Raw genomic sequence first — 15,626 nt, 5'->3', positions numbered from 1 at the left:
TTCAAATTCAGGAAATATAGAGAACACCACAAAGATATACTCCTCAAGAAGAGCAACCCCAAGACACGTTGTTGTCAGATTCACGAAGGTTGAAATGAAGGAAAAAATGTTAAGGGCAGCCAGGGAGAAAGGTCGGGTTACCCACAAAGGGAAGCCCATCAGACTAACAGCACATCCCTCTGTAGAAACCCTAGAATCCAGAAGAGAGTGGGGGCCAATAGTCAACATTCTTAAAGAAAAGAATTTTCAGCTTTTAAGTGAGATGGGTTTCCTGAATACAGCACACTGATAGGTCTTGACTCTTTATCCAATTTGCCAGTCTGTGTCTTTTAATTGGAGCAATTAGCCCATTTACATTTAAGGTTAATATTGTTATGTGTGAATTTGATCCTGTCATTATGATGTTAGCTGGTTATTTTGCTCATTAGTTGATGCAGTTTCTTCCTAGCATTGATGGTCTTTACAATTTGGCATGTTTTTGCAGTGGCTGGTACCAGTTGTTCCTTTGCATGTTTACTGCTTTTTCCACAGTCTTCAGAACCCACAGACCAGGAGATTCCCTCGGGTGCCTACATCACCAGGGCTCCTTCAGGAGCTCTTGTAAGGCAGGCCTGGTGGTGACAAAAATCTCTCAGCATTTGCATGTCTGTAAAGGATTTTATTTCTCCTTCACTTATGAAACTTAGTTTGGCTGGATATGAAATTCTGGGTTGAAAATTCTTTTCTTTAAGAACGTTGAATATTGGCCCCACTCTCTTCTGGCTTGTAGAGTTTCTGCCGAGAGACCAGCTCTTAGTCTGATGGGCTTCCCTTTGTGGGTAAACCCAGAATTTCATATCCAGCTAAACTAAACTTCATAAGTGAAGGAGAAATAAAATCCTTTACAGACAAGCAAATACTGAGAGATTTTTGTCACCACCAGTCCTGCCTTACAAGAGCTCCTGAAGGAAGCACTAAATATGGAACAGAAAAACTGGTACCAGCCACTGCAAAAACATACCAAATTGTAAAGATCATTGACACTATGAAGAAACTGCATCAACTAATGGGAAGAATAACCAGCTAGCATCATAATGACAGGATCAAATTCACACATAACAAAAATAACCTTAAATGTAAACTTTCTAAATGCCCCAATTAAAAGACACAGACTGACAAATTGGATAAAGAGTCAAGAACCATAGACGTGCTATATTCAGGAAAACCATCTCATGTGCAAAGACATACGTAGGCTCAAAATAAAGAAATGGAGGAATATTTACCAAGCAAAGGGAAAGCAAAAAAAAAGCAGGGGTTGCCACCCTAGTCTCTGATAAAAAAACATACTTTAAACCAACAAAGATCAAAAGAGGCAAAGAAGGCCATTACACAATGGTAGAGGGATCAATGCAACAAGAAGAGCTAACTATCCTAAGTATATATGCACCCAGTACAGCAGCACCCAGGTCCATAAAGCAAATTCTTACAGACATACAAAGAGACTTAGACTCTCACACAATAATAGTGGGACACTTTAATACCCCACTGTCAATATTAGACAGATCAATGAGACAGAAAATTAACAAGGATATTCAGGACTTGAAATAAGCTCTGGACCAAGAGGAACTAATAGACATCTACAGAACTCTCCACCCCAAGTCAACAGAATATACATTTTTCTCAGCACCACCTTGCACTTATTCTAAAATTGGCCACATAATTGGAAGTAAAACACTCCTCAGCAAGTGCAAAATAATGGGAACCATAACAGTCTCTCAGACCACAGTGCAATCAAATTAGAACACAGGATTAAGAAACTCACTCAAAACCATACAACTACACAGAAACTGAACAACCTGCTCCTGAATAACTACTAGGTAAATAACGAAATTAAGGCAGAAATAAATAAGTTATTTAAAACCAATGAGAATAAAGGCACAACCTACCAAAATCTATGGGACACAGCTAAAGCAGTGTTTACAGGGAAATTTAGAGCACTAAATGCCCACAGGAGAAAGCTGGAAAGATCTAAAATTGACACCCTAACATCATAATTAAAAGAAATAGAGAAGCAAGGGCAAACAAATTCAAAAGCTAGCAGAAGACAAGAAATAACTAAGATTAGAGCAGAACTGAAAGAGACAGAGACACAAAAAACCCTTCAAAAAAAATCAATGAATCCAGGAGCTGGATTTTGAAAACATTAACAAAATAGATAGACCACTATAGACTAATACAGACTGCTATACACACTAATAAAGAGAGAAGAATCAAAGAGACACAATGGAAAATGATAAAGGGAATATCACCACTGTTCCCACAGAAATACAAACTACCACCAGAGAATAATATAAACACCTCATGCAAATAAAATAAAAAATCTAGAAGAAATGGATAAATTCCTGGACACCTACACCCTCTCAAGACTAAACCAGGAAGAAGTCAAATCCCTGAAGAGACCAATAACAAGTTCTGAAAGTGATGTAGTAATTAATAGCCAACGAACCAAAAAAAAGCCCAGGACTAGATGGATTCACAGCTGAATTCTACCAGAGGTACAAAGAGAAGATGGTACTATTCCTTCTGAAACTATTCCAAACAATAGAAAAAAAGGGACTCCTCCCTAACTCATTTTATGAGGCCAGCATCATCCTGACACTAAAACCTGGCAGAGACACAACAATAAAAGAAAATTTCAGGCCAATATCCCTGATGAATATCGATGCGAAAATCCTCAGTAAAATGCTGGCAAACTGAATCCAGCAGCACATCAAAAAGTTTATCCACAACAGTCAAGTCGGCTTCATCCCTGGGATGCAAGGCTGTTTCAACATACACAAATCGATAAATGTAATCCATCAAATAAACAGAACCAATGACAAAAACCACATGATTATCTCTAGATGCAGAAAAGGCCTTTGATAAAATTCAACATCTTTTCATGCTAAAAACTCTCAATAAATTAGATATTAATGGAATGTATCTCAAAATAATAACAGCTTAATAATAATAATAATATGACAAACCCACAGCCAATATGATACTGAATGGGCAAAAGCTGGAAGCATTCCCTTTGAAAACTGGCACAAGACAAGGTTGCCCTCTCTCACCACTCCTATTCAACATAGTATTGGAAGTTCTGGCCAGGGCAACCAGACAAGAGAAAGAAATAAAGGGTATTCAAATAGGAAAAGAGGAAGTCAAATTGTCTCTGCAGATGACATGATTGTATATTTAGAAAACCCCATTGTCTCAGCCCAAAATCTCCTCAAGCTGATAAGCAACTTCAGCAAAGTCTCAGGATAAAAAATCAATGTACAAAAATCACAAGCATTCCTATATACCAAGAATAGACAAGACAAACAGAGAGCCAAATCATGAGTGAACTCCCATTCACAACTGCTACAAAAAGAATAAAATACCTAGGAATACAGCTAACAAAGAAAGTGAAGGACCACTTCAAAAAGAACTACAAACCACTGCTCAAGGAAATAAAAGAGGATACAAACAAATGGAAAAACATTCCATTCCCATAGATAGGAAGAAACAATATTGTGAAAATGTTCATACTGCCCAAAGTAATTTATAGATTCAATGCCATCCCCATCAAGCTACTATTGACTTTCTTCACAGATTTTTAAAAATCTACTTTAAATTTCATACAGAACCAAAAAAGAGCCTGTATAGCCAAGACAATCCTAATCAAAAAGAACAAAGCCGAAGGCATCATGCTACCTGACTTCAAACTATACTACAAGACTATAGTAACCAAAACAGCTCAGTACTGGTACCAAAACAGATATATAGTCCAATGGAACAGAACAGAGGCCTCAGAAATAACGCCACACATCTACAACCATGTGATCTTTGACAAACATGACAAAAACAAGCAATGAGGAAAGGATTCCCTATTTAATAAATGGTGCTGGGAAAAACTGTCTAGCCATATGCAGCAAACAATCTGGACCACTTCCTTACACCTTATACAAAAATTAATTCAAGATGGATTAAAGACTTACATGTTAGACCTAAAACCATAAAAACCCTAGAAGAAAACCTAGGCAATACCATTCAGGGACATAGGCATGGGCAAAGACTTCATGTCTAAAACACCAAAAGCAATGGCAACAAAAGCCAAAATTGACAAATGGGATCTAATTAAACTAAAGAGCTTCTGCACAGCAAAAGAAACTATCATAAGAGTGAAGAGGCAACCTACAGAATGGGAGGAAATTTTTGCAATCTATTCATCTGACAAAGGGCTAATATCCAGAGTCTACAAGGAATTTAAACAAATTTACAAGAAAAAAACAAACAACCTCATCAAAAAGTGGGTGAAGGATACAAACAGACACTTCTCAAAAGAAGACATTTATGTGGCCAACAAACATATGAAAAAAAGCTTATCATCACTGGTCACTATGCAAATCAAAACCACAATGCAAATCAAAACCACAATGCAAATCAAAACCACATTGAGATACCATCTCACACCAGTTAGAATGGCGATCATTAAAAAGTCAGGAAACAATAGATGCTGGAGAGGATGTGGAGAGATAGGAACGCTTTTACACTGTTGATGGGAATGTAAATTAGTTCAACCATTGTGGAAGACAGTGTGGTGATTCCTTAAGGATCTAGAACCAGAAATACCATTTGATCCAGTAATCCCATTACTGGGTATATACCCAAAGGATTCTAAATCATTCTACTATAAAGACACATGCACATGTATGTTTATTGCAGCACTATTCACAATAGCAAAAACTTGGAACCAACCCAAATGTCCATCAATGATTGACTGGATAAAGAAAATGTGGCACATATATACCCTGGAATACTATGCAGCCATAAAAAAGGATGAGTTCATGCAGGGACATGGCTGAAGCTGGAAACCATCATTCTCAGCAAACAAACACAGGAATAGAAAACCAATCACCACATGTTCTCACTCATAAGTGGGAGCTGAACAATGAGAACAGATGGACACAGGGAGGGGAACATCACACACCAGAGCCTGTCAGGGGGTGGGGGGCGAGAAGAGGGATACCGTTAAGAGAAATACCTAATGTAGATGACGGGTTGATGGCTGCAGCAAACCACCATGGCATGTGTATACCTATGTAACAAACCTGCATGTTCTGCACATGTATCCCAGAACTTAAAGTATAATAATAATAATAAAAGAAAATGACAGCATGGGATGCATATAAAACAGATGAGAGATCCATATTCATAATAAAATAGGGTGTGGGAAAGTTAACTTTTTCAGAATGTTGGCACAAGGTGGTAAATCCTTCTTTCAGGGCAATTTGATAGTAGCTTTCAATTTCTTAAAATGCTCATATGCTGACCCAGAACTCCCATCTTCATAAATCTCGCCTACAAAAATACTAGCATAAAATATGCACATAAACATATATATATGTATGTTTGGTAAAATAGCGCTTTCATCGCGAAAAGCCTGAAGTGACTTAAATGTCCATTAGGAGGGAAATGTATCAAATGTTGTCCAATTCTTATGATAGCATAATATGCAACTATAGGTATAGCCATATCTACCGACCTGGAAACTTTTCTAAGACAACACTGCTATAAGAAAAGTCATAAAGAAAATCCATAGTACAATCTTGTTAATGCAAAACATAACAAAGCCAAAAACTCAACAATATTTAAGGAGCATGGAAAATTGTATTGACAGACATGAGCCCAACTCTTTAGAGATGTCCCCTTTGGTGGGAGGAGTGAGGGTTTGTAGGATTAATGACAAGAGTGTTTGGTTTTACTCGTCTTTAATGTTTTGTAATGACTTGTATTCATGTACTGCTGCATAATTAAGTAAAAGAAAAAAATTAAAAATGATTACATCTACTATAACAACAGCAATATAGATGACTTAGGCATAAAGCTACTAGGAAATGTGCAGGACTTTTGGAAAGAGAACTATTAAATTTTATGGAGTTACATAAAAGAAGACCTGAATAAATGGAAAGATGTAACATGTTTGTGAATTGAATGATTCAATATAGTTTATAGATGTTAGTGCAAATCTAGTCAAAACCCATGGGAAATTAAACTTCTCAAAACGATCCTAAAGTTCTGCAAGAACAAAAACTGTAGGTGAGAATAACCAAGAAAATCTTAAAGAAGAATTATAAGAGTAGCCTGTACAACCAGATATTAAAGCTCCCCTAAAATTAAAGTAATGAAAAAGAAAGAATATGATTGTTTCTACTAAAGCCAATATTATTAATGATGGGTTTTAATTATATTAACTTACCTGATTGAGATGGCTAGAAATAATTTAAAAATACTGCCATCTAACCATTGATTACATTAATAGCCCCAATTCTTCACCCCTCCCTGCATTCACGGTCTTTGTCGTGTGACTTTTTACCACCCTCTTTCAAAAGGTATATTTTCCCAACCCTTGATTCTTAGCTTGACCACGTGACTTCCTTTGACAAATGAGATTCTAGAAGACAATATATAAATAAGGTTTGAAGAAGCACTTACTTGTTTGTACTTTTTTGCCTCTGCCATAGTCACAAAATATGCCTCAATTAGTCTACAGAGAGATGAGAAACACATGAGTAAGGGCTGAGTCCCATCTGTTGTCTCAGCCAGGCCAGGTTAGATCAGCCTTAGAAAGCTGACCCTCAGTGCATAAGCCCAACCAAGACCAGCAAAGCTGCCTAACTAGCCAGTCCTACTCCATGAAAGCAATGAAAGCTTGTCGTAAGAACTGAAGTTTCGTGGGAGTTTGTTACATAGGATTACTCTGGTGGTAAACAACCATTTAACACATTAAATTTGAAATTTATTCTGAAAATATTTTTTCATCCAGAAAGCATATATCCACCTCAAATAAATGTTGTTTTGAGAATAGAAAGGCAGTCTTTGTTTTTTTAATAGAGAATAATGGCCTACAATTATTAACAAACAAAGACATGTAAAGTGAAAACTAAATAACGAAATTAATATTTCATTTATAGTAGAGTCAGTTGTTACCTTTCTATCCTTTTAGGCACTTTTACAAGCACTTGGTTTCAAAATTACTTTGTTTTTTCTTTAACATTGAGCAGCCATTATATTCTGATATTTATTTACTCTGCCTGTGTATCTTATACTTCAGAGTTTGTTCCTTTTTTTTTTTTCTTTTCTTTTTTTTTTTAGACGAAGTTTCACTCTTACAGCCCAGGCTGGAGTGCAATGGCACGATCTCGGCTCACTGCAACCTTCACCTCCTGGGTTCATGCAATTCTTCTGCCTCAGCCTCCCGAGTAGCTGAGATTACAGGCACCGGCCACTATGTCCAGCTAATTTTTTGTATTTTAGTAAAGACGGGGTTTTACCATGTTGGCCAGGCTGGTCTCAAACTCCTGACCTCAGGTGATCTGCCCGCCTTGGCCTCCCAAAGTGCTGGGATTACAGGCGTGAGCCACAGTGCCCAGCCGAGTTTGTTCAATTTTAAGATAGGTTTGGGAATACTTAAAATATGTGATAAACAGAGGGGAAACCATGGTATAAATACTAAGTTAATGAGATGCTAGTCATGGCTGATAGAAGGTCTTCTGTTGTGAGATGCATACACTTGTGTTAGGAGAATACTGGTGTTCCCACACTCACCCATGCAGTACACTTCCCAGACCTTTGTACTCTCCTTCACACACTCTCACAAAGTTGTACCTATCTCCATGTTTCAAGGCAATTCATGGTAAACTTTTGTCACACACAAAATATTCAAAACTAAACTACACAAAGGACTAGGAGACAAGAGACATGAGAATCTAGGGTTGGAATTCCTAAGTTTAAAATCCTAGCTATGCCACTTACTAGTTGTATGACCTTGGACATGTTATTTAACCTCTCTAAGTGTTATAGATGTCATTTGTAAAGCGGGTAAAAAATCATAAAATAATGCTGTTGGCATCATCAGGTTGCTGTGAGATTAACTTTATGCAAAGGATATATTGCATATCGCTTTAGGACAATGCTTGGTTCATCGGAAACAGATAATAGATGTTTCCTCCCACTCCGATGATTGCACAGTGCTCTACCAAGGCTTTTGTTTCTTTTATCTTTTAGTAGCATATGACAGGACAGAGCTATTCATTCCATTTTGCAGGAGAGGTTTTGACACTCATAAACACTTAACTGACAAAGGACTATACTTGGAGAGAATATACCTGCAATGGTCAATTAGAAAATTAAATTGTGTCTTTTTAGTAGGACAGTTATTAAGCTGAACTGTAATTGATATGATTTGGTTCTGTGTCCTCACCCAAATCTCATCCCAAATTGTAATCCCCAGGTGTCAAAAGAGGGACCTGGTAGGAGGTGATTGGATCATGGGGGTGGTTCCCCCATGCTGTTCTTATGATAGTGAGGGAGTTCTCACAAGATCTCATGGTTTAAAAGCCTGTGGCAGTTGCTCCTGTGCTATCTGTCTCTCTCCTACCACCTTGTGAAAAAGGTACTTGCTTCTCCTTTGCCTTCTGACATGACTGTAAGTTTCCTGAGACCTCCCCAGCCATGCAGAACTGTGAATCAATTAAACCTCTTCTGTTTATAAATCACCCAGGTAATTTAGGTAGTAACTCAGGTAGTAACTTTATAGCAGTGTGAAAATGGACTAATACAATAATCAACATATTATATAAGTCATTATCAGAAAAAGTATTCTTACACTATATAAACTACAATCTAACTTATTCTAAATCAGAGTTAAATAATATATATTGACCAATACAACTTTTTCAGAAATTGGTGAATATTATCCTTAAAATCTTAAAATTGAAGGGAATATTCTAAATTAAGAATCTTATTTTTGACCAGGCACGGTGGCTCATGTCTGTAATCTCAGCACTTTGGGAGGCTGAGGCAGGTGGATCACGAGGTCAGGAGTTCAAGACCAGCCTGGCCAAGGTGGTGAAACCCCGTTTCTACTAAAAATGCAAAACTTAGCCAGGGATGGTGCCGGGTGCCTTTAATCCCAGCTACTTGGGAGGCTGAGGCAGAGAACAGCTTGCACCTGGGAGGTGGAGGTTGCAGTGAGCTGAGATCACACCACTGCACTCCAGCCTGGGCGACAGAGTGAGGCTCCATCTCAAAAAAAAATTTTTTTTACTTTTAAATAAAAGATCAATTAGCAAAGAGCATAGCTAATACCAAGTCTTCCATTGAATTAATTTCGGAATACATGAAACATATATAAAAACTTATTATGTCTTCAAAACTAACTTATAATTCAAGATTTCAACCTAAAAACATTTCTTATTTTGTTTACCTGACAGAGAATAGAGAATGAGGGAGAGGCTAAATGTTATTTAATATCCCTATTATTTAATATTTACTACTTCAACAACATTATAGCATAATAAGCTGATAATTTTCTCTTGACTTCAGTTATTGGGTTTGTGGTTGTTTTTTATTTTTAGGTTATAAAGATCTTTTAGCTTTATGTTATTGTTACATAAGTAACCTGTTTTTATTGTTTTCCCCAATTACTTAAGCTAGAATATGCTTCCTTGTGACCTCAAAGTTTGGAACTTATGTCTTAATGTATTGAATTGACTTATATGGGCTTTAAATTGATATATCATAGTTGTACATATTTTGGGAGTACATGTGATATATAGATACATGTATACAATGTGTAATGATCAAATCAGGTTAATTGGAATATCCGTTGCCTCAAATATTTGTCTTTTCTTTGCACTGAGAACATTTCAAATATTCTTACAATTTTGAAATATACAATAAACTATTGTTACCTATAAATTCCCCATTGTCCTATCAAATACTATAACTTATTCCTTCTAATTATGTTTTTATACTCATTAACCAACTTCTTTTCACCCCACTCCCCAACCAAGCATTATGAGTGAAGAGGCACCATTGTAGATAGGGGAGATCCATTGATGGAGATGAAAAGCAAGGCACCTGCTCTAACAAGGGCATTCTAATGATTTGGAAAATAGAACAATATGCACATAGTTAAATGAGCAAAATACTTTTCAAGTATCATATATGTTTTGAAGAAAATAGGAAATTCAGAAGGTGTCTGACCTGAGAACTGAATTTAAGAGAACTTAAAAGAAGGCAATCTTGTGAAGATCTGAGAAAGAGGGTCTAGAAAGTGCAAAAGCCTTGATGTCCAAAAGAGCTTGGAACACTCAAAGAACAGAAAGAAGACCAGTGTGGCATTGTCACAGTAAGAGACAGAATAGGAGATAAAGCAACAATCATGAGCCATTGGAGGGCATAGCACGAGTCATGGTTAAAAGTTTATTTCATTCTGATTGCATTATAGCAACTATATTGAAATGGGCTAAGACTGGTTACTGAAAGACCAACAGAAGCTTAAGGAAGTGGTGCAGGTAAAAGATGATGGAACTTGGGCCAGGATGACAGTAGTGGAGATGACGAAAAATGAAAAGAATCTGCATTTACTTCTGAAGAGACAGTTAACAGGATTAATGGATGGACTGGGTGGGGAATGATGGAAGATAGAAATAAAGATTGACTCAAGTTTTTAGCTCTAGAAAATTTGTGTATGGGGATGGTGTCAACTAAGAGTGAGAAAACTACAGAGTAGGAGCAAATTTAAAGAAAACAAAGAATTCAGTTTGGGGTATGTTAACTGTAAAACAACCATTATATAGCTAAGTTCAGAGGTCAAGTAAACAGCTCAAAATATAAACCTGACACTTAGAGGTCAGGACACAAACTAGAGAGTCATCAACATATAGGCAACCTGTAAGTTATTTACCTTAAAGTTTGCCTATGTGTTGTTTACCCTTTGTATTCTTAAAATGTATACTCAGATTTATCTAAACATTTACGTGTTGATAATACTGTTTTTAAACTACTATATTTTTTCTGGTTGAGAAAAGCGAATATTATAACAATTTGTTATACCTCCATAGTATATTCATTGACGTATAGTGAGAACAGATCAAGAAAGAGAAACTAGAAAGAGTTTTACAGTTTTGTATACTCACAATTCACAGTTCACTGGGGAGAAAGCAGCAGGCCACACAAGGCCACTCAGGTCATGCACCGCGGTCAGTCATGAGGCAGAGGGAGACAGGGCAACTGAGGGCACGTCCCTTTATTGTGGTTTCTGCAGGAATGAAACTGTGAAGCAGGGCAAGTAGGTTTAAGATTGGCTGGTGTGAATAATTTCAGTGAGCTCTGAGGACTAGGCACTGGCCCTTGTTGCCTGGTATCTGGCTATGGGGCAATTTGGGTTGATGCATAGTGGCCCAGAGTTTGGGGTACATGATTGGGGTGTGAACAAAATCAAATGTTCAAGAAAAAAAGTGACTACTCTCTAGCCAGGGCCTCAAACTGGGTCAAGATACCATTTGAAACCACTATATTACACAATTCTCACAATTAGTTAAAAAACTTAACGAAAATCCCATTGGAAATTGTTTTATAACTTGAAACATTAATTCAAAATTACTCTTCATCTGGAAGGGTAATCAAGAATAGACAAGAACATATGTGTAAACGGAAGGTAGTAGAACTTGTAGAACCAGATGTTAATATGTACTTTAAAGCCTCAACAATTATTCTCGCACTAGTACAAGAATGCATGAAAAAGCAAAGAAACAGAATTAAGATCCTAAAAGTTACTCTAATGCCCATAGGAATTTAGTATCTAATATAGGGAACATTTCAAATCTGTGAGGAAAGGGGATATTATCAGCAAATGGTTTAAAAAATAACTGGCTAAAGATTGAAAAAACTAGAATTAGATGCATACATGACAACAGAAAATGCTTTCTTAAATAATTTATTATTTACATATAAAAAAATAAAATTTCTAGAAGAAAAATATTTAATAGATCTCAGGATGGAAAACACCTTTCGCGGTGTGCCACAGAAAGCAGATATCATCAAATAGATACTTGACTTAGTAAAAATTAAACACATCCACAAGTCACAAAGAATATGACAAACAGTCAATGCAAGTGACACATGAGAGAAGAAACATTTTAACTTCTATGTGACACCAAGTGAACTAAATAGAGAAAAAAATAACCTACGAATAATAAAAACAAGCAATAGCTATAAGTCAACAATTCAAGAAAGAGAAATAGTCAAAACCTTACTAGTAGGGTTGGACATGGCAGCTTACACCTGTAATCACTGTTCTCTTTGGGAGGCCTAAAGCAGGAGGATCATTTGAGCCAGGAGATCAAAACAAGCCTGGGCAACACAGTGAGACGCTGTCTCTACAAAAAATTAAAAAATTATCTGGACATGGTGGCATGTGCCTGTAGCCCTAGCTACTCAGGAGGCTAAGGTGGGAAGATAGCTTGAGCCCAGTAGTTTAGGGCTTCAGTGAGCTGTGATGACACCACAGCTTTCCAGCCTGGGTATCAGAGCGAGACCCTCTCTCTAAAACAAACAAAAACTCACTAGTAACGGAAGGAATTAAAATTAAAACAAAAAGGTGCAACTTTTACCTAGGAAATTGCTAAAGATTTATTTAAATTATGTAAAAGAAAACTCTGAGGCATAATAACATTTTAAAGAGCTTATTTGGATGAGAAGCATTCATGAATTGGGAAATGCCAGATGGAAAAAGGTTTAACATTCCAGTGACAAAATGTCTGATATAAGTATTTATTGGGAAAATGCAGAAGCAAAATAAAGAAATTATTTAATTGGCTTGCAATTATAAAATTGCCCCTTTATAGGTACCTTGTTGGAAAGTCCCTAGTCATATAATCCTATGTTAGTGGTGTTAAGGTCCACTGGCTGACAGACAAAATGGACTTCCTATGGCTAACTGAAGTGCTAAAGGTTATACAGAATCAAGTAGCCTGGGTAAAAGAGCAGTCATGTATTCTGTGTTCTCAGAAAGATGTTGTGAAAATGTCACAGGACCTTCCTTTCTACAATCAAACCAAACCAGTTCCCATTTTTGGTGTCAGGATAAACTGCAGTAGGAACCCCACCCCCAACCCACATCTTACCACCCCCGCTAACATATGAAATAAACATCTGATAGAGACTTCTGGTTTGGGGCTTGGAATCCACCCAATCAGAGCTCAACTATTTTGACCAATCACAACTGACAAGTTTGAATCCTTCATGTGCATAAATGGACCTGATTGAGAATCAGGGGAGAACTTTTCTCATTTAAACCAGAGTTTTCCTTCCTCCTTTGGAGAGCACATTTTGATTTGTACCAATGGCTGTGCTTCCCCAATCTTCAGATTGTTTTTTTTTTGATAGAAAAGAAAGCTTTCTCTTTTTCCTTTGCAGATGTCATAGTCTGTTAACAGTTGGCTGCTTATAATTGGCTGGGGTTAAGTTTTAATTCTGCCTAACATAAGCATTTATTGCAAATGACCCAAGTTAAGTTTTGCTTATATTTGTAGTTATCACCTAAAGTAAGATTCACTTAAGTTTGTAATTTTAGCAAGATTAAGGCTATTCTTAAGGCCTTTGATTTTGTTTGCTTAGGAATTTTTCAAGCCTGATTTCCATTTTAGTTTTACTTTAGTAATGATAATACCCACTGTTGTCAAGGATGCAGGTAAACAGGCACTCTCTCATATTTTTTATGGAATACAAAGTGATACAGATTTTCTGCACACCAATTAGGTAATATGCAACAAAAATTTTAAAGGGCATGTCCACTGACCCAACACATTTTTTTATATATATATATATATACACACATATATATATATAAAATATTCATTTTATATATATATAAATATATTCATACATTTGTATATATACACACACACACAAATACATACACACATGTATATGCATATATATATACACACATACATACATTGATACATACAAACATATACACAATATTCAACCTATGACACTAAAAATATGGCCAATAACCTAAAAGAACACTAGTAAGAATTAGTTAACCAATTATTTCATTCCATTTAATGAAATAATACAAACTCATTAAAAATTTAATTGTAAAAGGTTATTTTAGAAACTATTCATAGTATGTTTTTAACTAATGACACGTTTTAGCAATTTAGCATTTCGTTTTAGCAATATGTACAATTCTTTGCCTACTTTCCCAAAAGACTTCTCAAGTCACCATTTTTAAATACCTTTAGTAAATAAAAATTGAGCTGGATGACGAGTTAGTGGGTGCAGCGCACCAGCATGGCACATGTATACACATGTAACTAAACTGCACATTGTGCACATGTACCCTAAAACTTAAAGTATAATAATAATAAATAAGTAAATTTTTAAAAAATTGAGGAAAAGATTCATGTATTTTGATTACTTGACTTCTCTTTACAAATTTCCTGCATCAAAAATTGAACCCCTAAACTTTCAGGAAATTAGAAATGTTCTCTGAACACAGGGCTACTTTTTAAATACACGGAGGAGTTGACCAGAGTTCTTTCATTTTATTTCTTAGTTCAGAGATCTGTAATAAATTTTTGTGATCATATCAGCCATGTTCTTTTTTCTAACTTATACAGTTGTCATCTTATTGTAGACATCAAAGAACCATAATAAGCATAAAATGGGTCATTATATATAATGACCCAGAGTTTAGGTTAAATAGGATAAGTGAGAAATTTGGGAAATGTAGAGCCCTGAAAGACTAAGGAAAGTTGGGGCCATCTCACTATGTTACCATACAATTGTTATGTTATTCTATTCTGCCATCCCACTATTCTGAGTTTATTTAAAACCAGAAGTAACTGATCAACACTACAAAGTTCTTTTCATGCATTTGCTGTTTGAACAGAAGTATTAGAAGACTACTGAGAAGGCCTAAGCACTCAAGATTTACTACTCAATTTGTCCAACTGGAAAAATATTAGTAAATAGCTAAACTTGTATTTGTTTACTTGAGACTTTACTATAAAGAACCATATTCTACCACCTTATATTAAGCATAGTAATGAGCTAATTAAATGATATCACTACAGACAATTTTCTCAAGCTTCTGTCCTATTCAAATAGCTATAAATCAAGGTTCACAGCCTACTGCAAAAAGCTTTTGACCACAGTGAATGCTGTGAGTGGAAAGAAAATAGCCAAGCAAGATTGAAAAATTCTGTTTAGCATTTTGTAGCAATTAGTGCTAAACTACAGTTGATAAATCCTCTCTTAGACCAGAGACATAAAAAAATTCTGCTAGTTGTTTACTGATCTTATTTTCATTTTGCTCATTATTTTTAAGTTGCTTTGATATTGCTAGAGTGGTAACTCATCAGGAGAGTAATATATAATGTAGTTTGTTGATTCCCTGCATACACAACTCACTAATAGCTTCCTAAATCCATAGGGATAAAGTAAGGCAAATGTTGGATAAGTGTAATTTTTCCCAATTTATAGCCTTTAGCAGTCTGAGGCTGAGCTTCATCGATTTTTCTTAATCACTTGGTAAGATGCTCAATAATGGCTTAGCCTCCTTTTTACTTAAATAATATCAATTGTTTTAATTAGCAAACATTGTAAATACTCTTCTATTTATTTACAAGATACTCATTCCCGCTCTGATTCTCACAAATTTGGCATTGATGAGTAACCTGTACAATGTTTAGTGATCTTAGTCACTCAAGTAGAAAGGGCCAAATACAAACTCTTCTGCATTCTAATGATATTTTAAATTAAACTGT

General features: G+C 35.9%; 1 long non-coding RNA gene across 1 annotated transcript in view; it reads right to left on the bottom strand.

The window, feature by feature from the left end:
* The window catches only part of LOC105370478 (uncharacterized), a 30,377-nt gene extending 18,857 nt beyond the window's left edge, over positions 1-11,520 (bottom strand). Inside the window, exons 1-2 of the long non-coding RNA XR_001750751.1 lie at positions 10,986-11,520; positions 6,496-6,547 (exon numbers count right to left, since the gene is read on the bottom strand). This is a non-coding gene — a long non-coding RNA (uncharacterized LOC105370478). The remainder of the gene's footprint in view (positions 1-6,495; positions 6,548-10,985) is intronic.
* Between the last annotated feature and the right edge of the window lie 4,106 nt (positions 11,521-15,626).

This window comes from Homo sapiens, chromosome 14, assembly GCF_000001405.40.
Source record: "Homo sapiens chromosome 14, GRCh38.p14 Primary Assembly".
NCBI classification, from domain to species: domain Eukaryota; kingdom Metazoa; phylum Chordata; class Mammalia; order Primates; family Hominidae; genus Homo; species Homo sapiens.
This window is presented reverse-complemented; position numbering and strand designations above follow the sequence as displayed.